General features: G+C 42.3%; 1 protein-coding gene, 1 long non-coding RNA gene and 2 pseudogenes across 9 annotated transcripts in view, besides 10 other annotated features; 2 read left to right on the top strand and 2 right to left on the bottom strand.

Annotated features, from left to right (window-relative positions):
* Positions 1966–3165: an enhancer, noted in NCBI's record as "P300/CBP strongly-dependent group 1 enhancer chr2:162949234-162950433 (GRCh37/hg19 assembly coordinates)". NCBI's record gives its function as "activates an origin of replication core promoter dependent on BRD2, BRD4, P300/CBP, MED14 and CDK7 cofactors, with strong dependence on P300/CBP, by STARR-seq in HCT116 cells {active_cell/tissue: HCT116}" and the evidence as "EXISTENCE:reporter gene assay evidence [ECO:0000049][PMID:35650434]".
* Positions 5613–7630, bottom strand: EIF3EP2 (EIF3E pseudogene 2; annotated as a pseudogene).
* Positions 17091–17202: a protein binding site, noted in NCBI's record as "GRE -4200/-4185 amplified fragment used to assay dexamethasone-induced glucocorticoid receptor (GR, also known as NR3C1) binding in macrophage-like THP-1 cells". NCBI's record gives its function as "binds GR in macrophage-like THP-1 cells {active_cell/tissue: THP-1(+Dex)}" and the evidence as "EXISTENCE:chromatin immunoprecipitation-qPCR evidence [ECO:0000228][PMID:31988243]".
* Positions 17149–17163: a nucleotide motif, noted in NCBI's record as "nucleotide_motif; -4200/-4185 glucocorticoid response element (GRE)". NCBI's record gives the evidence for it as "EXISTENCE:motif similarity evidence [ECO:0000028][PMID:31988243]".
* DPP4-DT (DPP4 divergent transcript) lies at positions 17957–21032 on the bottom strand. Its single transcript, NR_147697.1, has 3 exons — positions 20954–21032; positions 20278–20411; positions 17957–18659 (listed from the first exon to the last, which is right to left on the bottom strand). It is a non-coding gene; the product is annotated as a DPP4 divergent transcript (long non-coding RNA).
* Positions 18178–19374, top strand: TIMM8AP1 (translocase of inner mitochondrial membrane 8A pseudogene 1; annotated as a pseudogene).
* Positions 19493–21269: a promoter, noted in NCBI's record as "DPP4 promoter fragment used in the reporter gene construct". NCBI's record gives its function as "drives testosterone- and dihydrotestosterone-stimulated DPP4 expression in transfected COV434 granulosa cells {active_cell/tissue: COV434(+T or +DHT)}" and the evidence as "EXISTENCE:reporter gene assay evidence [ECO:0000049][PMID:28799235]".
* Positions 19493–21521: a biological region, named in NCBI's record as "DPP4 promoter region". NCBI's record gives its function as "regulatory_interactions: DPP4".
* Positions 20081–20163: a protein binding site, noted in NCBI's record as "GRE -1782/-1767 amplified fragment used to assay dexamethasone-induced glucocorticoid receptor (GR, also known as NR3C1) binding in macrophage-like THP-1 cells". NCBI's record gives its function as "binds GR and is necessary for glucocorticoid-induced DPP4 expression in dexamethasone-treated macrophage-like THP-1 cells {active_cell/tissue: THP-1(+Dex)}" and the evidence as "EXISTENCE:chromatin immunoprecipitation-qPCR evidence [ECO:0000228][PMID:31988243]".
* Positions 20125–20139: a nucleotide motif, noted in NCBI's record as "nucleotide_motif; -1782/-1767 glucocorticoid response element (GRE)". NCBI's record gives the evidence for it as "EXISTENCE:motif similarity evidence [ECO:0000028][PMID:31988243]".
* Positions 20824–21521: an enhancer, noted in NCBI's record as "NANOG hESC enhancer chr2:162930878-162931575 (GRCh37/hg19 assembly coordinates)". NCBI's record gives its function as "activates a minimal SCP1, AML or CMV promoter by ChIP-STARR-seq in naive H9 embryonic stem cells {active_cell/tissue: H9 hESC(naive)}" and the evidence as "EXISTENCE:reporter gene assay evidence [ECO:0000049][PMID:30033119]".
* Positions 21546–21805: a silencer, noted in NCBI's record as "silent region_12061". NCBI's record gives its function as "represses an Ori minimal core promoter by ATAC-STARR-seq in GM12878 lymphoblastoid cells {active_cell/tissue: GM12878}" and the evidence as "EXISTENCE:reporter gene assay evidence [ECO:0000049][PMID:35858748]".
* DPP4 (dipeptidyl peptidase 4) overlaps positions 21674–24814 on the top strand; it is an 81971-nt gene continuing 78830 nt past the window's right edge. For 6 of the 8 annotated variants that reach the window (NR_166822.1, NR_166825.1, NR_166824.1 and 3 more), the window contains exons 1-2: positions 21674–21913; positions 22403–22490. Coding sequence is in view for 4 of the 8 variants with exons in the window: in NM_001379604.1 (NP_001366533.1) it covers positions 21908–21913; positions 22403–22490 (94 nt within the window). In the remaining 4 variants the exon portion in view is untranslated. Of the gene's footprint in view, positions 22050–22402; positions 22491–24814 lie in introns of all 8 variants that reach the window. The other 2 variants (NR_166823.1, NM_001379605.1) reach the window with 2 other exon arrangements.
* Positions 21956–22155: an enhancer, noted in NCBI's record as "active region_16716". NCBI's record gives its function as "activates an Ori minimal core promoter by ATAC-STARR-seq in GM12878 lymphoblastoid cells {active_cell/tissue: GM12878}" and the evidence as "EXISTENCE:reporter gene assay evidence [ECO:0000049][PMID:35858748]".

Below are 24814 nucleotides of genomic sequence, written 5' to 3'. Positions count from 1 at the left end.
TTTGTAGGTCAAAAATGGTCAAGGATCACCAGTTTCATATGGCTCAAATATAATCTTTCCATGTATTTTTTAAATCCCTTTCCATTATCAGGAACCACTGCCACCCAATCATTAAGTAAAATGCCTAAACCAAGTAACATCCATATAGTATATACCCCATATGTTATCCCCAATGTCATTTTTTAACTCTCGTTAAAAGTAGTTCACCAATCCCTAAGAATTAACTTCACACAGGGGTGCCTGGGTAGATTCAAGGTCCAGAAATATGATTGTGTATATGCTTAAGAGTTTACGATTTGCATCATGCTGCTATAAAGACACATGCACACACGTATGCTTATTGCGGCACCATTCACAATAGCAAAGACTTGGAACCAATCCAAATGTCCAACAATGATAGACTGGATTAAGAAAATGTGGCACATATACACCATGGAATACTATGCAGCCATAAAAAATGATGAGTTCATGTCCTTTGTAGGGACACGGATGAAGCTGGAAACCATCATTCTCAGCAAACTATTGCAAGGACAAAAAACCAAACACTGCACGTTCTCACTCATAGGTGGGAATTGAACAATGAGAACACTTGGACACAGGAAGGGGAATATCACACACCGGGTCCTGTTGTGGGGTGGGGGGAGGGGGGAGGGATAGTGTTAGGAGATATACCTAATGTAAATGATGAGTTAATGGGTGCAGCACACCAACATGGCACGTGTATACATATGTAACAAACCTGCACGTTATGCACATGTACCCTAGAACTTAAAGTATAATAAAAATATATATATATATATATATATATAAAAAGAGTTTATAATTTTCACTAAAAGAAAGAATAAAGACTGGTCTGTTTTACAGTAAATTCTGTGTTTGAATAAAACTTCAAAGGGCAATTGCTGAACAGAAATGTCCTACTTACTAATCAATGCCTTTCAAAACAAAAGAGAAGAAAATGCTATGAAAATTGTCCACCAGCAATGGCTTCAATGGAGTATACGAAAAAAAACAGGCTCTTCTTGGGAAAATAGGAAGATCCATGAATTTTAATTTGAGAACCTGGTTTGTCCAGGTTTTATTTCACTCCCTTCAAAAGTGAGAATACTTTGGTCACTTCTCTCTCAAAGCAGCTGGAAGGCCTGCAGAAGACAGCAAGACCTCAGATGTAGAGATGCTGGCACACTGAACCCTTGCACTGCTGAGATCCAAGAAGGCGGTCACATCTGCTGAGGACAGAGGTCTCTGAGGGGCTAAGGGATGCCATAATTTGCTGCTGTAGCTAGAATGCCAGGTGTTTCACAAAATCTTTGGGTAGAAACTCTTGCCGTTTATACCTTTTATGAATTATATTTATATGAAACTCTATACTTGTTTAGCAATAGAAGTAGCTTGAATTTCTAGATTTGTTCTATCCATATGTGCATTCTCAGTCCTTGAAAACCCTGAGAAAGAAAAAAGAAAGTTTATAAATACAAATTAGACGAGGTAGTCCTTGCCCATAAAGGGTGTATATTCTACTTGGACAGAAAAGATGAATATACGTGAAAGAATTACAGAATACATCTCCTTACACAATTCCCCTCTTCCCTAAGGGCATTCATTATTACAATACACTTATATAGCACCTCCTTTCCAATAGCCCAAACACCGGCTGTAGAACAAACTGTTGAATAAATACTTGTCACAATCCCCTTTTAACAAGTGAGTCCATCTGGAAAACCAATTCGGGTCCTTCATTCTAATCAAGAACTCTTCTGATTTTGGGATCTACTTTAATCTTTTTATGATAGGGCAATACTTCAGAAATTAAGAAAATAAAGCTGGTAAAGAATTATATTAATGACAACTTCATTCTCACTCATTAAGCATATCATGTGCCCTTGAACTAGTGTTTTAGATATTCTCTATACCTCTTTAGTATTTACAATGTTATTTGCAAAGTGTTGCTCAAAAAAGACACTGAGGCAGAGTCTGAAGCAGCAACTTTCCCTAGGTTACAGAACAGTAGGGGCCTCAAGTCCATGTTCCATCTACTACACCAACATGTCTCTCAAATGTCAGTTACCAGAGAAGCCAGAGAATGGAACATGAAAATTGTTTGCATGTCCATGAAAGCCTGAACCACCCTTCCCACCCAAAGTTTTCAGTTTCTAGAAAAAATCTACAACAGAATTTTTTAATCTACAGGGAATTTTAAGTGCTCATTTAGAAAAGAAAAATGCATAATACACCAATCCGACAGGATTTACCATCACTCCTCCCTCTGCCTGGGTCATATGGAACCAAGGATACTCTTTTATAGTGTTTTGCTGAAGCTCAGGCTGTCTTGTCCCTGGTAAAGTTGTCCTCTTCCCCTTGTCTCAGATCTTCAGAGGGCCTCCAGGCCCTGTTGCACAACCTTCTTCTCTGTGAGGCCGGTGACCATCTGCTCACCATCCTTCGAACCAAAGCCCATTCATGCACAGCCATTTGGGCCACTGGAATGTTGACACCCAGTCTTTTCCTCTTCAAACTCAGTTGCAATGTATTTTTAGTTGCGTGGATCATATTTTTCAACACTTGAGTCATTTTTGTGTCTCTGCTTATTTTCCTCCTATTTCTCCATGTTGTGTAATATTCCTTTGAGTTATCTTTTCCCAAGGAACTCAAAGAACTTGATGATTCAGCCCTCCACCCACACACCGCGTGAGGCAGGAGACTCTCCCCCTTGCTTTTCTGAGGTACAAAACTGGCTCAGGTACAGCTCTATTTTTCCAGCTGTCAAGCAGCAGCTGACCAGATTTTTTTCTATGCACTAAAAATTGACACGCAGCGAAGTGTGCTGTGGTGTGGCAGGGTGAATACAGGGTCTCAGAAGACCACAAAGGCAAAACAGAATCATGGATCTCACAGAGTAGCAAAGACCCTATGCAGAGAAACAAACTTAACAATTTTCATATGTCCAGGGTCCAAGCTAGCTGCTAGAAATAAATGGAATAAAGCCTAATCCCTGCCCATCAGGAAGGAAATGACACAATGAATCAGCATTTATTCACTCAGTGAGTCAGTAAACACTTAATAAGCAATTATTATTGTGCCAGATATTAGTGTAGGCCCTAGGAGTATATCAGTGAACAACAGAGACAAAATCCTTGAATATTACTGGATAATAGTAGATAATTATAGGGCTCTGGAGTCAGGCCTCATGGGTTCAAATACTTGCTGTGTAATACTGAGAAGAGTATGTACCCCTCTGCACCTCAATTTCCTCATCTACAAAGCAGGGATGATAAAGGTACCTACTGCATGGGGCTGTTATGAGGACTAAATGAACTATTACAAGTAAAGAGCTTACCTGAATGTCCAGCACCTAGCACGGGGTCCATGAATCTTAGCAATTATTACATTAGATAATTGCATTACAGAGTGATGAGTGCTTTGTTAAAAAGCAGTGAGGCACAAGTCTGTTTGAGAGCACAGAAGCCATGCACCTTGCTAGGGCAGTGGGTGGGCAAAGCTTCTTGGATGAGATGGCACTGGAGTTGCGATCATTGACTAGGACCTTAGCCAAATGAAAAACAAAGGGAATGAACTCCAGGTGGAGGAAACGTTATGTTTGAAGTTTCAAAAGCAAAAGAGAGAGCAAAACAGAGATTGCATTTCAATTCTTAGAAATGAATGCATGTAGCTTAGTGTGTAGGTGGCGGGATGTTGGGGAGGAGCCATGAGAAGGAAGGCTAAGCAGAGACCAGAACAGGATAAGGGATTTGGATTTGATCCTGCAGCAGGGGAAGCCACTAGTTTTAAGCAGGAAAGTAATAAACGCTGCCATGGAAAGAAATGACAAAAGGAGAGGCCAGTTAGATGGGCTGGGCGATGACCTGGTCTGGAAGAAAGGAAGGCCTGAGCAAAGGTGGAAGAGAGACCATAGAGAGATGTGGACAATGAAACGGGAGATTAGAGAGGTCTGTGTGTGGGATAAGGAGTGAGCAGGTATCAAGGAGGACTCCTGGGTTTCCGGCTTGGGCCATGTGGTGGCGATACTCTCATGGAGGGAGAGCATGATGCAGAAGGACCTAATTTGGTGACTAGTGGGTAGGGGAGTAGTGTTGGTAATTATTAACCCTCTCTGGCTAATTTAGATTTAATAGGCCTATGAGTCATCCAGGTGGGGACCTTCCGGAGGCTCAGACTCCAGAAGAGAGATCCCAGCTAGAGAAATACAAGCAGAAACCATCAGCATAGAGATACATTTGAAGGCTTGGGAGTAACTGAGATGACTCAGTTCTTATCTCATTAAATCTCTGCAACTCTGGGAAGAAGGTTTTTAAAAAACAGCCAAGGGCACATAATAAAGGTTTTTAAAAAACAGCCAAGGGCATATAATTGGATTGCAGACCCAGGCTTGTCTAACCGTAAAGTCTTCGCTCCTTTGTCTTCTCCCTACGGCCTTGCAGGTGGCCTGGTGAATGGCTGCAAGAAGCAGCTGTCTCCATGTTGCCAGCTTTGGCACATGGCTGAGTTTACTCTATCCCAGAGCTGGTGTAGTTTCTAGAAATACAAACAATAGAGCATGGCTGCCACACTCAAAGCGAGGTCAGAGAGACAGAAGCTTAACAGATTGTTTTAATAAAATATGCTCAAGGCAGTGAAGGAGATGGGAGCAGGGCACACGTTTGGGAAAACTTTTGAGAATCGGGAAGGGCTTCTCAGCCTCAAAAGTCCTGATAAAATGCATATGTCAATCCTATCAACCTCCATCAAGTCTGTATATCAGAATAGACGAAGGTTTTCTTTCTTAATAAATTTTATGTATATAAAAGGTATACAATATATTATGAGATACATACATATAGTGAAATGGTTACTCTAGCAGAACAAATTAACATATCCTTTCATCTTACATAGTTACCAGTCCCCATCATGGCAAAAGCAGCTATATTTAATCCTTCAGCAAAAATCCTGAATGCAATACACCAGTATTAACTAGCGGCCTCAGGTTGTATATTAAATCTTTCAACTTGTTCACCCTACATTTGCTACTTTATGTCCTTTGACCTGCATCTCCCTATTTTCTCCCCATCCCCAAACCTGGTCACCACTGTTTTAGTCTCTATCTCTATATATTGCATGCTGTCACTTATATATGGAATCTTAAAAAAATGAAATAGGTTAGAATAGATGAAATTTGATAGCAGAGAAAGGGAGGAAGAGGTTGGGCCTTTGGAGGGGGACTGTTTGGAAGGAAATACTACAGAAGGGGATTCTTGGCATAGAAGAGACATTGAAAAAGAGGTGACAAGGCCTAGGAGGGAAACAGGGCACTTACAGCATGGAGCCAGGAGGACCACTACACTCTGAACATCAGATCCATAGCCCAGTGGATTAGCCTCCAGGAATTCTAATCTCCTCCCTCAGCTTCCTCTGGAAAATGCTTACATGGGGTTGGGGTTGGGGGCAGTAAAGCCTAATTATCTCAGACTTAGTCTTGTGTTGTTTGGCTAGAAAGCTCAGGTGGATTAACAACTGTAAACTGGTTTGTAAACTGTAATCCTGGAGATGTTCCTTATTTGTTCAAATTGATATTCCCAGGACATTTCCTGGTTTAGTAACTTCTCAATAAGTATGAGTCATCCTTCAGCTTCTCCTGAGATCACTTTTAGTGTATCTGCCAACATACTAATGCTAATACTCCGGTGGATATATCAGAGAGTCTTAAATATAAATATACAAATATTTCTAATGAAATCCTCAAAAAGTAGACATTGGAGCATGGGTGTTTTTTCTGGTCCCCATCAAAGTAAAAGCTTTCAACCAGCTCAGTAACAGGGTTTTTATGTGTAGGATTTCTTTTGAAAGACATTGGCTAGGTCTTTTACCATCTTCCTGCATTTCCGAGCATCTTTGACTATTATGGCTACTGTAGTCAAATAGCAGAGACACATCATCTGAATTATTAAAATAGTGTGGCTGAAAAAGGTGAGATAAATAATGGTAACACAGCTGTAGGGGTGGTTGAAAACAACAGAGACCGATGAATGAGACATGTTTGTTGCCAAAACACCGGAGTGGAACAATTATTATCAATGGTGTCTTAAATGTGTAAGATCGTCCATGGCTGCATCCCCATTTCGCATTGTGGAAATAAATGAAAACCACCCAAATGAGAACAAACAGGATTATTTTTTCAAGGTTTACTGTAGCAAGGGAGTCAGTCACCATCACTTAGCAGAGATTCGAAGGCAGGAAGGGCAGGGGGAAAGATTTATAGAGAAAACAGGAAAGGCTTCAGGTGTGCTCTGATCAAAGCCTGTTGGCATAAGAAACAGGAGGTAGGCTAATTAAAAGCAGGACATCTGACGAGATTGGTGTGGGGAGGATAGAAATCTTTTTCTGGTCCTGAGTTAGAAGCAAAGTTTACAATCCTGACTATTCTGGGCTGATTGCAGCAGAGGTTGTGGGGCAGAGTCCAATTGTCAGGTACAGTCTGGTCACTGACTGTTTGCATATTCAGTCTCTCAGCATTAAGATTTCAGAGATGAGACTGGGTATGGTGGCTCATGCCTGTAATCCCAGCACTTTGGGAGGCCAGGGCAGGCAGATCACTTAAGGTCAAGAATTCGAGACCAGCCTGGTCAACATGGTGAAACCCTATCTGTACTAAATATACAAAAACTAGCTGGGTGTGGTGGCAGATGCCTGTAATCCCAGCTACTCGGGAAGCTGAGGCAAAGAATCACTTGAACCTGAGAGGTGGAGATTGCAGTCAGCCAAGATCACACCACTGCACTCCAGCCTAGGCAACAGAGTGAGACTCCGTCTCAAAAAAAAAAAAAAAAAAAAAGATTTCAGAGATGAGCTTTCCCAGAATGAACTCGGTATTTCTATCATGTGCTGGAAGCAGCACTCTAAAAGAGCAGTGATACTCAGCTGATCCTGAGTCACTGACACGTTCATGCTGGAAGTGCGTGTGTCTCCAGAGCATGCATTCTGAATAAGGGCAATATTGCCCCCAAGGAATGAAAATTGGTTATTGAGGGCAAAAGCATCACTCTCCCTACAAGTGAAGCACAGAATATATATATATATATATATTCCAGATAGTGCATAAACATAAATACAATATAGTATATCTGTGGTATTAAAATTTCATGGAGGATGAGTAGGAGAAAAAAGTTTGAAAAATGCTTGGGTCAGGGAGGTTAGTGTAGAGAATAAATTAAAAAAAAAAAAAAAAGAAAGAAAGAAACCCTGAGAAACAGCCTGCAGAACCTATGTAAATACTTCCACCCAAAATTATATTTTTCAGCCGAGAAGCCAAACAGTATCTGACCATTCCCATTGGACTGCATTTGCCTTGTAATTTCTGGTTCTCCAAACATCCTTCCAATTGGTTCTTTTTCTATTTGAGGGACTACAACTATTGTCATTTCTTCTCTCAAAGCATGAGGAATCTCACCAGAATAAAGGTATTATTTGCATACACTGTAGCAAAAGCTACTATGCGGTGTCACTAGGAAGACCCAACTTCCCATGTATTTATTGTTTTCCCTCTTATATCTCCTTTATGAAGAGCAATTCAAGCAGCAGAAACAAAATGCCAGTTTAAAAGAGATATGATGTGAGTAGTTAAGTCATACTCTGCCATCTTGCCAAGAAAAAGGGGAGTCCTAGATGAATAATTTTAAGTTCTATGTTTAATTCAGTAAAATTACATTATAAGCTTTAGATTACTCTGGTTAAAAAAAACTTTACACTGAAAAATGGTTAAGACGGTAAGTGTTATGTGTATTTCACCACTATTTTTTAAAAAAGAAATGGATGACAGATATTTTTCACTCTAATCCAATAATAAGCATGAACTTTTTTCCTTGATTATTGTTATTCACAAATCAGCACACATAAAAATTAAGAGGTCCTCTTACATATGGTTTTCTGGTTATGTGATCCACCCCTCAAGAAAAAGTAAATGTTCCCTGGCTTGGCAAATTAGCTGTCTCTTTTTAGTATAGTTTGAGGCCTGCCTCCAGCCCTGTTCTTGTCCTTGCTACTGGCCCTTGCTACTTCTTTCCTTAAATCATGGCAACTACAGTGCAGCCCCACCACTCCATCCCTGACCCCAATCCCTATCTTATAAACACATACTACTGAACAAGTGAAGGATGTGCACACCAGCAAAAGGAAAAACGGCCAATATCCACGCTGACTCCAGATATGCTCTCAGAGTCTGCCATGCTGTTGGCACAACCTGGCCACCCTGTGGACTGCTAACCTATGCTGGTGCGCCTACTGCCAATGGACATATACTTGCTGCCTTATGACAGGCTATTCATCTTCCTACTAAAATGGCCAATGTTCATTGTCCCTCCCACACTAAGGACACTGATAGTGTATCTTAAGGAGATGATAGGGCAGACAAGGCTGTTAACTATGCAGCCAAAAACAGGCCCCCAATCCTTTTTTCCACCCAATTTATAAACTTGCCTTTATCTTTGGCTGATGTTAATGATCATCAGATGGGACATATAGATATGTGCAGATACAGGATGATTAAGGTTCTAAAAGATAATTGGGATCTACAGTTGCCCTGGGAGCACTATTTTCTAGTGCATTACTTGTAACTCTCACCAAATCTCTGGAGGAAACCAACATTACTGAGCAAGTTCTCCAAGGTGCACACTTCCCTTGCAGAACTCCAGATAGACTTTATAGATTCACTTCCAGCTTTAGGCTTTTCTCTCTGGTTATTGTCTGTATGCGTAGTGGGTGGACTGAATGCTATTGGACCAGACATGCTAACACCACAACAATGGTGAAGAAATGAGTAACAGATTATTCCTTGCTTTGGCATCGTTTTATGGACTGAATCAGACTAAGGAACTCATTTTACAGCAGAGATAAACCACTTGCTTGCAAAAACTCTGAGGTATTCACTAAAATTTCATACCCCATACTATCCCCAATCCTGAAGGCAAATCTAGACATTAAATGGACTTTAGGAAATGTTTTTAGAGAAATTGGACTTAAATTGCCAGAAGCATTACCTCTGGCCCTTATAAAAATGCAAAATACTCCAAATAGAAGATATGGATTAACCCCTTTTGAGATAATGTTTGGCTACCCTATGCCTACTGGCATCTCTAAACCTTCCAATTCCTAGGTTGAATAGACTCTATGTGGATTTAAGTAAACAATGTGATGCTGTGTCTAGCTATGTACAGGAACTCACTGATATACTTGGAGCATATCATCATCAGGTAAAAAGGATGTGGCCTCTGCCAACTGACAAGCCTTGCTATCCTTTTCAACCAGGAGACTGTGAGTCCATCAACATTTTTAGAGAAAAGCACACACTGTCATTTCACTGGGAAGGCCCTTATGAAGTACAGCTGAATATCTATGCTGCCATTAAAAGAAAAACCCTCCTGGGTTCACACAAGCAACACCAAACTAGATCCTGATCAGCATTTCCAAGTCAATTGAAAGATCACCCCTACAGGTGACCTTAAAATAAGGATTACCAGGGCTAATTCCCTGGCCCCAGAAGCAGATGGCATTTTTTCAAAGTAGAGAGCTTTTCCCAAGACCAGGGACGAAGAAATTTTACTTCCACCTATTTTCTCCCCCTTTTAGGTCTCCCTAATACTCTTCCTGAAAACAAACAAACAAGCAAACATACAAAAATCTCTTTTTTGGTGACAAATGCTTCCCATCCCCATTTGTTGGTAGCCTACTTTAAAAGCTGACTGAAGATTGTCTCCCTCTAACTATTCTCCCTCTGCTCCTCCACTATGACCTTTCTTCAAACTGTGTCCGCTCTGATTAGCCCTCACTATTTTTCCAACGGGTCAGGCATAGACTCAGCATCCCTTTGTACCAGTCTTCCAAACCCTGGCTCTGATAATTAATCAATCTGACTATTGATTATGTCAACATCTAGATTATGCAAAGAAAAACCCTGAACTTATTTTTGTCCCTGCCAATGCAAGTGTCCAGTGGATCAAGTTTGGAGAATGAATGTATGTCAAGGTATGGCATTCACCACCTAGACAACAACAACACATTATTTTTCCATTCAGTGAGTCAGTTGGACACAGAGGAATCTCTGTAAGAGCTCGAAGACTGTCCTTGCTCTAGTAAAGTCATTAGAAAGGAATTTTTCCCTCTCCAGTATAAGCAGAGATAATGCTGGACTTTTCTTAAGTAACATATCAATGAGGCATTGCAGTCAAAGCCTGTGGTTTGATTCCACCCATGGCACCCTTAAGCCTTTCACGAAGGTCATAAGCAGTTCTGACACTGACTCTTATGGTACAAACACTTGCCAAATCACCAGATGTTATATAAACTTCCAGAGTCAGCCTTGTGTAACTTGGGAAAACTCATTAGGCTAGCAGACACCAAAGATTACAAATAGATTGATCAAAATTCTAGACTGACTTGGCTTAATAAATTTAAGCCTTATATCTGCCCAAACTGAACTAACGGCCTCCTATATCAGATATTTCACAACCTTTTGCATTCCTATGGACTGACAGAATTCATGGAGGATGGAGATGAGCAGATGTCAATATGCTAGAAGACAAAGTGCAATAAACCCCAACCTGTGGTGTCACATATTCCACTCTGACCTTATTTGTGAAAAATACTGGCCTTTTTTCTTGTGTGGTAACAAGGTATATAAACAATTCCCACCTAGATAGCCCAGGCAATGTGGACTCAGATATTTAACACCTCTGTCTCCAGGTACCCTACTGTAAATGCTAGCCAAATTACAAACTTGGGCTCTTTTGTTTTATAAAGTGGTACCATACAAACATACTAGATGTACTATTCAAAACTCACTTTTATATCACAACTCCAAGTTCTTTTCAATATTGAGAGCTTTTTTCCCAAGCATTGGAGTTTATGAGATTAAAAAAGCAATTCTAAATCTTTCCATAGTTATAGAATGAGAGCTCAACATTTCTATGAAAGCACTGAAAGCACTCCAGTCAGAAGCTGACATTTAGTCACAGCTATATTTCAGAATCCCCACGTCCTGGATGCATTGACAAACACTGGAGAAGAACAGTGCTTCTATGTAAATCCTTGGGGACAAATAGAGCCTAATCTGCACCATTTAAAAGACAAGACAAATATTCTTCACCAAATAAATAAGGCTAAACCATTTTATTGGATAGAACTTTTCCCAGGATTAGGAGGCTGGTTTAATGGAGTGTGGGGAACAATGTTTAGATTGGTTGTTTCCTGGTTTGCAAATCCTTTATGACACAGTTACTAACTTGTCATTTCTTTCCACAGCCACCACCTCAGCTTTTAATGCTGGAAACGTCTAGTGAAGTTTCAGACAGGGGAAATGAAGGAATGAAAGACATGGCATCCCAAAATATGCCAAATTGGTATATTGATTATTTCAAGTTGAAAGCATTGGGAGAATTGTAGCCTCAGTAAGGGTTAGTTGGCCTGTCTTTTCCTGCTTGTGGCAAGCCATAGATTCCTCTGGGAAGAATATTTCTTGTTGGAGCAAGAAAATAGAAATATTTCTTACTGTGGGAGGAATATTTTCTTACTGGAGCAAGAAAATAGCCCTTGTCAACAGAGACTGGTGATAGGAGGCTGCAATGAACCTGAATAAACATACTTAATGAAGTAGTCCTTATCTTCCAGTAGGTTTACACCCTACCCTCATGTATCTCCTAGTGACTCCCCTAGAAATGTACTGCTCTTAGTCAGATTCCCTTTGTCCTGTGATTTCTTCTCAGATTTGTCATTCTTTGTCTAAAAAGTATGAAAGTATCTTGCTTTGGCCACTTCAGACTTCAGTCTCTTATGAAGATCCCCATGTACATGAAAAACCAATAACATCTGTTTACTTTTCTCTTGTTAATCTGCCTGATATCAATTTGGTTTCTAGATTCAGCTCTATGGCTGAATCTAGAAGAGCTACATAAGAGCTACAGGGGGGTTGGAGGTGATCTCTGGCTCCCCTACCCTGCCACCACATCTAGCCCATGTTCACAGCTTGGAGAACACTAAGGAGGAGACATCATTGTAGCTACAGACACTTTGTGAGAATCAGGCTCCATGGGTTTCAAACACGTTCTCTTCATTAAGTCATATTTTTTTTCTTAAGTCAGGGGCTAATATAAGCAAATTCTTCAAATTAAAAAACCCACAGAATATCCAAAGGATACCATCCAAAGAGGAGCACAAAAGTGCCCTTACCCCTTGGGTTGGTTCTAGTCTGAAAGGTAGAAAAAGCACTCCTTTACGGAGTGCTGAGTGCTAGAACAATCCCTCATTTGGTATTACTGATAATTGGGGCAAGGAAAGCACCATGACCATAGCTGAGAAAAAGTTTTTAGAGTTATATTTTAACAAGAATAAATAAGCATGGTTTACATGCTTGTACAACAAACTTTGCAGAGAGGCACTTACCCAATTAATTTTCTAAGACCAAGAGTTTACTGACTCTCCCCCCAGTTTAAGTTCTTCCCTTTCTCATTCCATCCAACAGACACTATTGCCTTTTTTTTTTTAAATCTGAAGTATAAGTCTGATTGGGTTTCTTTCCCAGGTAAAATTTTAGTGGCTCCTTGGTATATACTGAATATTGAACTTAAGACAAGAATATGTTCATGACCAACTTTCATTTCCCAATACTTTCTGGAATACTCTATATCCTGGCAAAATGCAAGTAATACATATTCCCTAAAGATCTTCCAGCTTTCTTACTCAAGCCCTTATGTGTGTTATCCCTTGGGCCTGAAACTTCCTTTCATCTATCAAAATCCATAGGATGATCTAGCCAGCTAGTTGTCATCTATTAATACGTATCTCTTTGTAGAAATAAATTTTGTTAAAGGTTGGTTCAACCTGGAACACAAGCAGGGTAATCTTCTCAAGTATGGTTGGTAGGGAAAAGAGAAAATAAAACAGAAACAGACGGTGAAGATAACCTGGAAGATGTGAGACTTGATCTTCAGTCCAAAGGATATGAAATGTGGGGTTTGGCACTAAGGCAGCAGGAAGTCATTCCCACACAGGTAGAGCAGCGTTCTCTGATTAGGTGGAGGGCAAATGTCCACTGATCAAAGGAACAAATAAGTACCCTTGTATTGTCCTTTACATAACCTTCAGAACTGAGGGCAAGAAGTAAATCTGTTCCTTTCCATCCCTGTTCCCCACCACTCCTCACCTCCCCACCCTCCACCCTGCCATCTCTCCACATATGAGATCCTATTTCTTTCTGTCTTCTAGTTGCAGCCCCCAAGAACACAGAGAAAGATTTGATCTTAACTTTTCTTCAGTTATCATTTCATTTTTTAATTTATTTAACCAACAGTTACTGACTGCTAATATATTTAAGGCACTTTACTAGGCACTGGAGAGAATGATGGATGAGAAGATAAAGGAATAAAGGGAATGTTTCCAGTCTCCATAAGGAGATAGTTTAGCAAATAATAAGTACTATATGGAGTTGCCTGGTTATGTGGCTCTTTTTCAAGTTCCCCCTCCCTCTATCCATTCTCCACCCTTCTCTTCCCTGCATTGCACAGCCTTGCAGGTTGATCCCTGAATATACATTTGCTATTAGCCAGGCTCCTTAGCCCTCTGTCTTTATTGGGCTCAACAGATGGGAGGAACGAGCAAGATACTGAAGGGAGAGAAGAGAAAGAGACTGAGGTATTTACTCCTTAAGCTTTTTATCTGCTTTATTGTGCTGCAATCTGGCAGTGGCTGTATCCCTCCAAGGCTAGAGTTCACCCTAGGTAACCCCAACTCCAGGACTCAGGTTCTCAAAAGGGGATATTGCCATAAACAGTGGCAGGAACAATATGATAATCAGGGCTTTTGACTTCTATGGTGGTGGCTCATTTATCACGAGATACTTAAGAATGAAGTCAATAGGTAGCATTCTAAATTATAGCTTGATTTAAATGATCAAAAGAATTCTAGGTGTAATGGGCAGAAATTTGACTTAAGTTTTCATAGTAGTAATAAATGGACTCTCATCAAGTTCTCAGACTCAAAGCAGTTAATAGACCCAGAAAACCTTGTTTGAAATGGAGGTCAGATCTTTTTCAGGAGGGACTCTGAAATGCTGTCACAGTACACACCTGACATGTGACTTATAGCCAAGTTTGAAAATGCCCCATGAAAAGGGACATTCTCAGACCTCCCTGGAGTTATTAAATATGGGCCCTGGGTTTATGCCAATTTTGATGGAGTTAAAAAGATCACTGTTGTCCTGCTTTATGTTAAGTTTCCATCTGCTACAGTAACAAGTTACCATAAACTGAGTGGCTTAAAACAACATAAATCTATTAACTTACAGCTCTAGAAGTCAGAGTCTGAAATAGGTCTTCCTGGGATAAAATCAAGGCATCATCAAGGCTCTGTTCCTTCTGGAGGCTCTAGGGGAGAATCTATTTCTTTGCTTTTCCCAGCTCTTAGAGCCTGCCTACATTTCTTTGCTCATTTATCCCCTGACCCAGGAAGGGACATTAAGGTAGATAGGAAAGACCAAGTGGAAGACCCTGGTACTGTCCCTGCACAACAATATGGAAAACTAAAAGTAATACTGCATCTCTAAGTGCAGAAATTAGTGCCACTACGTAAAAATCTGAAAGATGCAGAGGTGCTATTTCCCCCATCCCATACTTAATTAACTTTCCCATTTAGCTTGTGCAAAACTAGGATGGATTATGGAAAATAACTCAGTTGCCATTTCAGATGTTTAACTTTACTGAATCAAACAACATGGACATCTGAGCTGTTCACCTGCAAACACTTTTTTCCTTGAGTCAAATTAGTAAGAAGTATCTAAAATACTTTGCCTTCACCTGGAAGGAACAGCAGTGTATTTTCACTATCTTACTCCAGGGATATGTCAAGTCTTGCTTTCTGTCATATTAAAATCTCCCAAGACCTTGAGCATCTTGCCATCCCACAGACCCACATTAGTCCACTGCATTGATAACTATGCTACATGGACTTGATGAACAAGAAGTAGCAAGTTCCTTACATGCTTTAGTAAGACAAATGTGGACACAGGGTAGAGAATAAAATCCGTGGAAAATTTGCAGAGTTTCAAGGGATTCAGTGGTCTGGAACATGTCAAGGTATCCTTTCTAATGTGAAAGACAAGTCACTACACCTTGTACATCCACCATGAAGAGGAGCACTATTTGCCAGAACTCTTTGGATTTTTGAGACACCATATACTATGCTTGGCTATACTTCTCCAATCATTTACTCAGTAACTTTAAAGGCTGCCTGTTTTGAATGGATCCTGAAGCAAAAGAAGGCTCTGCATGTTTAGGCTATAGTGCAAGTTGTACTTGGATCTTATGACCTAACAAGCACAATACTTATTTAAAATGTATGTGGCAGCCGGAGACACTGTATGAAGCCTCTGGCAAAACCCAGTGAGAGAATCACAGAAGATATATGACTCTTAGAGAAAAGTCATATACTCTTTGCCAATTTATTAGTTATCTACTGTTGCATAATAAATTACTTCCAAAACTTTAGGGGCCATCTTGGAGGCTGCCTACAATAACCAGTGACAATTCACTACTTAAAAAGTGGCATCTCTCTTGCTACTGGGATCCTGTAGAGACTGAAAGCATGATCATGGATCAAGTATATTCATTCATTCACTAGGGCTGCTATAACAAAGTACCACAAACTGGGTGGCTGAAACAACAGAAATTTATTATCTCTCAGTTCTAGGAGCTATAAGTCCAAAATCAATACATCACAGGATTGGTTCCTCCTGAGGACTATGAGACAAAGAAAGATCCACTGTAATATGGTTTGGCTGTGTCCTCACCCAAATCTCATCTTGAATTATAGCTCCCATAATTCCCATATGGTGTGAGAGTGACCCAGTAGGAGGTAATTGAATCATGGGGTACAGGTCTTTCCCATGCTGTTCTCATGATGGTGAATAAGTCTCATGAGATCTGATGGTTTTATAAAGGGGAGTTCTCCTACACAAGCTCTCTTGCCTGCCACCATGGAAAATGTGACTTTGCTCCTCATTTGTCTTCAGCCACGATTGTGAGGCCTCCCCAGACATGTGGAACTGTGAGTCAATTAAGCCTCTTTCCTTTATAAATTATCCAGTCTTGGGTATGTCTTTATTAGCAACGTGAGAACAGACTAATACAGTAACCTGGTACCAGGAGTGGGGTGCTACTGTAAAGATACCCAAAAATGTGGAAGAGACTTTGGAACCTGGTAACAGGCAAAGTGATATGGACAATAAAGTCCAGGCTGAGGTGGTCTCATGCAGATGAGGAACTTGTTAAGAACTGGAGCAGTGGTGACTCTTGCCATGTTTTAGCAAAGAGACTGGTGGCAGTTTGCCCCTGCCCTAGAGATTTGTGGAACTTTGAACTTGAGAGAGATTCTTTAGGGTATCTGGCAAAAATTTCTAAGCAGCAAAGCATTCAAGAGGTGACTTGGGTACTGTTAAAAGCATTCAGTTTTATGCATTCACAAATATATGGTTTGGAATTGGAACTTATGTTTAAAAGGGAAGCAGAGCATAAAAGTTTGGAAAATCTGCAGCCTGATGATGCAATTAAAATGAAAACCCCATTTTCTGAAAAATTCAAGCTGGCTGCAGAAATGAGGAGCCAAATGTTAATCACCAAACAATGGGGAAAATGTCTCCACGGCAAGTCAGAGGACTTCACGCAGCCCCTTCCATCACAAGCCAGGAGGCCTAGGAGGCAAAAATGGTTTCATGGGCTAGGCCAAGGGCCTTGCTTCTTTGTGCAGTCTCAGGACTTGGTGCCCTGTGTCCCAGCTGTGGCTAAAAGGGGCCAATGTAGAGCTCAAGCCATTGCTTCAGAGAAGCAAGCCCCATGCCTTGGCAGCTTACATGTGGTGTTGGGCATGTGGGTGCACAGAAATCAAGAATTGAGGTTTGGGAACCTATGCCTAGATTTCAGAGGATGAATGGAAACTCCCAGATGCCCAAGCAGAGGTGTACTATAGGAGCAGAACCATCATGGAGAACCTCTACTAGGGCAGTGCAGAAGGGAAATGTGGGATATGAGCCCCCACACAGAGTCTCCACTGGGGCACTGCCTAGTGGAGCTGTGAGAAGAGGGCCACCATCCTCCAGCCCCCAGAATGGTAGATCCAGGGACAGCTTGTTCCGTGTAACTGGAAAAGCCACATATACTCAACGCCAGCCTGTGAAAGCAGCCAGGAGGGGGCCTGAACCCTGCAAAACTACAGGGGCAGAGCTGCCCAAGACCATGGCAACCCACCTCTTGCATTAGCATGACTTGGATGTGAGACATGGAGTCAAAGGAGATAATTTTGGAGCTTTAAGATTTGACTGACCTGCTGGATTTCAGATTTGCATGGCACCTGTAGCCCCTTCATTTTGGCCAATTTCTCCCATTTGGAATGGTTGTATTTACCCAACACCTATAACCCCATTATATCTAGGAAGTAACTAACTTGCTAGTGATTTTACAGAGTCGTAGGCAGAAGGGACTTGCTTTGTCTCAGATGAAACTTTGGACTGTGGACTTTTGAGTCAATGCTGAAATGAGTTAAGACTTGGGGGACTGTTAGCATGGCATGATTGGTTTTGAAGTGTGAGGACATGAGATTTGGGAGGGACCAGGGATGGAATGATATGGTTTGGCTGTGTCCCCACCCAAATCTCATCTTGAATTATAGCTCCCATGATTCCCATGTATTGTGGGAGGGACCTAGTGGGAGGTAATTGAATCATGGGGGTAGGTCTTTCCTGTGCTGTACTTGTGATAGTGAATAAGTCTCACAAGATCTGATGATTTTATAAAGGGGAGTTCCCCTACACAAGCTCTCTTGCCTGCCACCATGTAAGACATGACTTTACTCCTCATTCGCCTTCAGGCGTGATTGTGAGGCATCCCCAGCATGTGGAAGTGTGAGTCAATTAAGTTTCTTTCCTTTATAAATTACCCAGTCTCAGGTATGTCTTTATTAACAGCATGAGAACAGATGAATACACACTGCAAGCTTCTCCTTGGCTTGTAGCTGCCATCTTTTCCTATGTTTCTTCACATGGTTTTCACTCTGTCTCTTTCTGTATCCAAATCTCTCCTTTTTATAAAGTTATCAGTCATATTGGATTGGGGCCCACCCTAGTGACCTCATTTTAAATTGATTAACTAGGTCGTGGAGACACGTGAAGGTTGGTGCGGAGTTCGTCTCTGCAAGCATGGTTGTCCTGGGATGGATTCCTCCTGCTCTTCCTCTGCGGCGGGTTTGGGTGCAGTGGACCCGCAGTTGCAGCATTTTCATTGAGGTAGAGACTCAAAAGCAGCGCTTCCAGCAGCTGGTGCACCAGATGACTGAACTTTGTTGGGAGAAGTGCATGGACAAGCCTGGGCCAAAGTTGGACAGTCGGGCTGAGGCCTGTTTTGTGAACTGCATTGAGCGCTTCATTGATACAAGCCAGTTCATCTTGAATTGACTGCAACAGACCCAGAAATCCAAGCCAGTTTTCTCAGAAAGCCTTTCTGACTGATCTCAGCATTACCTCTTTGGAAAAGGAAGGTAGTTCAATAAATGAAGAGCTGTTGATGGGATGATTGAAGAAACAGCTATGAGAGGACTGGCTCCCATCTTTTGTTACTTTTGGGACATCCTGTCATCTGAGAATGAACAAAGACCAATTTTTTGTGTGTGAAGCTTAAGGGTCATATGTTTGCTTGTATTTTTTAATGCTAATCTTGTGAAAATAATTGACAGGTGAATGGAAAACTCTATTTAGATGCATATTACTGTACACGGGACTATGCTTTTCTCAAAGCCCCATTAACTGCTTCCTATTATTTTGATAGTGGGACCACATACATAAAAATCTCTCATTTGTGTGGAGTCATTTCGATTTCAAGGGAGATCCTTGTGTTTTTCAGAAAGGGCAGAAGTGGGGGAAGAATAATTTAGTATCCTTATCTAGTGTTTGATTATCAATGCTGGAGAAAAATATCTGTAAGAGTGTTTATACAGTACACTTCAGTTTTCTTGATGATCTCCCTTTCCTATATGATGATTTGCTTAAATATCCATATTAAGTATAGTCTCAAGGTAAGGTAGGCAGCCTGAGAGTCTAGAGGTCTTTAGTTTTAAAGGAATCTAGCCAGTGAACATAATTCTTATTACTAGACTGCCACAAGGAAGAAATTAACTTACCCTGTATATCAGGGTACAAAAAATTCAATGATGTGCCTAAATAAGTTATAAAGATTTAGGCCAATCATAAGCTAACAGCAGTTTCAGGTAGAGGTGCATGCCTAATGTTAATTAGTGTAGATTCCATTTACTGCATTCTTTTGATCACTGAAATAAAAGCTATATAAGATTCAAAAAAATTGATTAACTCTGTAAAGACCCTATATTCAAATAATGTCACACTCTGAAGTCCTAAAGGTTGGGATTCTAATATATCTTTTGGAGGGACACAATTCAATCCATAACATCAAGTAACTGCACAACCTAGCTACCCTAATAAACTGAGTGTTGCCTAATCTACCACATGATAAAATTGGGCATTTGCAGGAGCATGCTATTATTAAGCGAAAATTGTATCTATATGATAAAGGAGATAAGCCCACCAGGTCCACAAGGCACAAGAAACTCAGACTAGCAGAAAACTTAGACTCTATGATGCCTGCTCCCATTGACTCAATGTCTCTCCCTCAGTGCACACCTATAGCTTCACAAGGAGTTTCCTACAACTAGGCAACAGATGAGGGAAAGGAGTCAATGTTATGCAAAGTAAGCTGGCACTAGCAATAAGTAGATGGCTGCTGCATCAGAGTCCCTCCCAGGGATGTCCTGAAACACAGCAGAAAGGGAAATCTTACTGACAAACAGAACTTTGAGCAGAACATCTGCTTTTCTATTTTGCAAGAAAAAAGAGATGGCCCAATGTAAGATCTACACTGACTCATCAGTGGTGGCTAATGTGTTGGCCAGCTGCTACCTTAAGGATTTGGAAAAAACAAGATTGAAAGACTGGTGACACAGAGGTCAAGGTGGGGGAGGCATGTGAGAGAGTCTCTTGAAATGGGCACAGGGTGTGAAGATATTTGCGTCTCATGGAGTGCCCTCCAGAGAACAAATTGACCTGTCCCGTAGATGTCAGCCAGCCTCCTGCCAGCTTCCTTGGGGCTTGCTGAATGTACAATGAGTGCCATGGTGCTGGCATGGAGATGAAGCACAGGCTTAACTCTCCAGACTTCCTTCACCGAGGCTGATGTGGCTTACCAATGCTGAGTGAGCAAAATGCTGAGAGTGAAGGGCAGCACTGAGCCCCCTGTGGCACCATTCCCCGTAGTCCGTGTTAAATGGCCTCTCTTCACAGCATCAGTTCACAGGGTCCAGTAACACCATTGACTCATCTTCCTCAGCAGTTGGAAGAGGGAGGAGGAGAGTTAGTTTCAGCCTCTGGAGTTGGGGGTGAGTGAGGATACTGATGTATCACAAGCAACTAGTGGGCAAGGGGGAAAAGATGACTGAGTTCAAAAGCAATGCCTGGATTGGAAATAAAAGATGGAAAATTGCATTAATTCATAATCATGTGGTAATGCCCCATCGGACTCTGCATTCTTAATCTTTTACCTCTACTGACAGAGAGGCTTTGCTTTTCAGCTGCTGTGAACAAGCTGAAGAGGCCTTATCCTCTTATCTGCAAGAGTGGAAGTAATCACAGGGGGCCCTAAAGGCAAATGTTTACCTGTGTATTTTATCGTGAAAGTGCCAAGGGTCCAGACCTCACCTCTCTTGTCCCACTTTATCTCCAGTACCTAGAAGGGAGGCTGGCACATTGTAACCACTCAAACATCTGTGGATGACTGGAATAAATGGGAGGATGTAGGAATGAATGAACGAATGAATAATCCTTTAGGGAACAATAGAGAGCTGGGGGAGGGAGAAGCCATACCTGATCTTTTATTCTTCTCCAAAACCCTTGAAAAGACTATGAGAGGCCGCATAGAGTAGCCATTAAGACCTTGAACTCTTAATTTAGGATCTACAACTTCCTAGCTGAATGGCTTGGCCAAGTTATTTATTCTCTGTGTACAGTCTTCCTTCCTGTAAAACAAACACAGTAAATGCTTAGAGCAGCACCTGGGAAAAAGTCAAGTTCCACATAAGTGTTACTGTCATTATTTTTGTCATCTTGATGAGTGTGTAAGCCTGCAAGACAATCGGGAAATTCCCTAGGGAGGGTGAATCCAGATACTCAGCTTCCAAGGGCCATTCAAGAGGGAACAATCACCTTTTCTCTTTGCCTTTCATACTGCTTTAGACCCCTCACTGCTTCCTAACATAACTTTCACTGGCAAGAGACGGAGTCCTGGGTTTCAGTTCCAGTTGCCTGCGGTGGGCTGTGTGAGTTTGCCAAAGTCCCCTGCCCTCTCTGGGTCTCGGTTCCCTCGCCTGTCCACGTGAGGTTGGAGGAGCTGAACGCCGACGTCATTTTTAGCTAAGAGGGAGCAGGGTCCCCGAGTCGCCGGCCCAGGGTCTGCGCATCCGAGGCCGCGCGCCCTTTCCCCTCCCCCACGGCTCCTCCGGGCCCCGCACTCTGCGCCCCGGCTGCCGCCCAGCGCCCTACACCGCCCTCAGGGGGCCCTCGCGGGCTCCCCCCGGCCGGGATGCCAGTGCCCCGCGCCACGCGCGCCTGCTCCCGCGCCGCCTGCCCTGCAGCCTGCCCGCGGCGCCTTTATACCCAGCGGGCTCGGCGCTCACTAATGTTTAACTCGGGGCCGAAACTTGCCAGCGGCGAGTGACTCCACCGCCCGGAGCAGCGGTGCAGGACGCGCGTCTCCGCCGCCCGCGGTGACTTCTGCCTGCGCTCCTTCTCTGAACGCTCACTTCCGAGGAGACGCCGACGATGAAGGTGAGTGCCGCGCCACGTACGTCCCCGGGGCGAGCTGTGGGGACCTCTTCGCCAAACTCCCCAAATGGCCCAAAAGCTGGCGAAACCGGACCAGGGACTCCCCTTAGGCGGAAGCCCCAAGGCCACCCTCTGACAGGTGAAGGGACGTCCCAGAGCTCTCGCTTAGCTTTCGGACCCTGGCTTCTGCTAGGACCCTGGCGTCGAGCTTTGAATGTCCCGGAGAGCCACTCACAGAACGCACGCCCGAACCCGGGCAGGGGTAGAGAAACCAACGCTAATGTGCTCTGAAGGCACAAGTTCAAGGGCACCCGCCTTAGAGAACTCCAACTGGCGCACTCCAGACGCCACCCCCACCCCCAGCCCGCGGTCTCCCTCTTCTAACGCACTCCCACCTGCAAATCCTGCTGCCTCTGGAGCAGCCCCGACCCTCCTACGGAAACTGGGGCCACACGCTTCCCTCTAATTGGACTTGATCTGCTCGGCTTGCAGACACCGTGGAAGGTTCTTCTGGGACTGCTGGGTGCTGCTGCGCTTGTCACCATCATCACCGTGCCCGTGGTTCTGCTGAACAAAGGCAGTAAGTTTGAAACATTTGAAAAAGATAGGACAGTTGGAGCTCAGGTCAGGCTCCGTCTTACCACGCTAAGGGAAACGAGGGATTTTGCGTGGGGTTGGACCAGTGCCCCGAAGTGTAGCTGAGAAGGCTTCCCAGTTGTTGTTGCTGCTTGTAGAGCAGCAGCTGGATTCACTTCGCGGGGTCTTCAGTGTTTAGGCTGAAACTCTTGCGGCTTTCACGTCTTGTTATGTATAATAAATGCATGCTTCCTGAAATTAGGGAGAGTCGGGATTTTTAAAATTTCAATTTTAAATTTAATTTGTAAATTTTTAAATTTACATGTAATTTTTGAGAAAAGTTTTTGGGTGTGATCGAAAAAGGAAAAAAGGCAGTGTTTAAAGAGCCCAAAGACAGCAGTAAGGATATCTGAAATGGAAAGGAAAAATGAGAAAGCAAGCCCCAAAATACAGTTTTGAGAAATGATGTTCCACAGGGAACCCAGACTGTTTTCCCTCAAGGGTGGTGAGAATTCAGTTGGAGGGTGGGGAGGCAGGGAAGTAATTGACCAATTTAGCAGTATTGCAGAGCTAAATAATAAAGCTGGTATACACGATAATATTTAAGAAGGGTCTGGAATCAGTGATGTTTTGGTGGATTCTTTTATTTAAGGACTTTCATGTCTTTTTAGCTTGCCTAAATGTATAAAACACTCACATAATGGAATACTCACTGTAGGATGCAAGCAAGTGAGAACTACTAGTTTCAGTCTCCCCTGGCCTTACTTTCCTTTTAAACACTTGCTTTCATTTCAGCATTACACACTATAAATTAGTCAGCCAGTTAAAGCATTCTCTCTGGAAGATTTAGTCAACTGAGGAATGTATAGTCAGTGCTTGCATACTCAAGGAGTCTTATCTAGATTTTAGGATGACAGTTCAGAATTAGATTGTAGAGCTATGAAAACCATGCTTGCTGTGCAATTCAAGGCCAGGGCAAATGTGCCAAAGGTTAAATAACTGAATGGGTTGACCTACTGCTAATGAAATTTGAAGAAACCAGTGGTTGCTACTATTTTATACCATTAAATGACAGTCCACTTAAGCTTGACTCTTGTGGACTGTTAAAATATAACTATTTTCATAAAGCAACTCTTTGTGTAAACCATACATGCAAAGCCTTGTGGGAGAAGAATGTGCTAGTCATACAATTGATAAATATAGGGCTTACAGGCTTACATTATGTTCCAGGCACCGCGTTAGTTGCTGCAAATACAAAGATTAAATTTTGTAAATATAAATATAAAGGCCCTGACCTCAAGGACTGTATAAGCTAGTGGGAACATGCAAACAAATATGACTTGTTTTACATATATATGTGTGTATGTGTGTGTGTGGATACACACATATATAAATAGAAATAATCTGTATGTTTCTCTCCAAAACATCACTGAGGCATCACAGCATCGCTGGAAGTTTGAGTAAAACTGTAATTATCAGAACTTCCGTTAAAGCAAGTTGGAAGGAATACTGTACTTTGATAAGCCACTTGAGATGGCCAGTGAAAAGGCCTAGGGATCTGAGGCTTGCTGCAGTTAACTCTGAGAATTTTGTTTTGCTGGGTAGGGTATACAGGCCAGGAAGAGCTGTTTTGCCATTTCTGCTAAATAGCACCTGGTATCTTCTCCAAATGAAATTTGAACACATTTCAAGAATGTTCTCTTGAGGAGGACTTCCTGAGAGACTCAACTTGTTTCCATATAACTACTCTTATGATTCAAAAAAATAACTTAGAGGTGCTTGAGCAGACTGCTCTGGAGGTTAGAAGGAACACTTCTGGGAAAGTCTCCCCCTCCCGGGTTCAAGTGATTCCCTTGCCTCAGCCTCCCGAGTAGCTGGGACTACAGGCACACACCACCACGCCCGGATAATTTTTTGTATTTTAGTATAGATGGGGTTTTACCATGTTGGCCAGGATGGTCTTTATCTCCTGACCTCATGATCTGCCCACTTTGGCCTCCCAAAGTGCTGGAATGAAAGGTGTAAGCCACTGCACCCGGCGGAGAGACTTCTTATAAGAGGTTTCTTTTGTGGGCCAAGCTTGAATAGTTAACATCAGTTTCTGGAGATAAGATATTCCAGAAAATGCAAATGCCCTGTGTTTCAACACAGAGACATGAGATCACATCCTGTGTTAGGGATTATAAAAGGATCCAGGGCCCCAGAGGAGGGTGGGAAACAGGCAAAAGAGTTTGATTCTAAGCTGGAGATGATGCAGTGAATGATGTTTTGAGCATGCCTGAACTGTTGGCCATGACAGTGGGAAGGTGAGTTGCAATGGAGCAACAC

Source organism: Homo sapiens, chromosome 2 (assembly GCF_000001405.40).
Source record: "Homo sapiens chromosome 2, GRCh38.p14 Primary Assembly".
Taxonomy (NCBI): domain Eukaryota; kingdom Metazoa; phylum Chordata; class Mammalia; order Primates; family Hominidae; genus Homo; species Homo sapiens.
The sequence above is the reverse complement of the archived record's forward strand: the minus strand, read 5'-3'. Positions and strand labels throughout refer to the sequence as shown.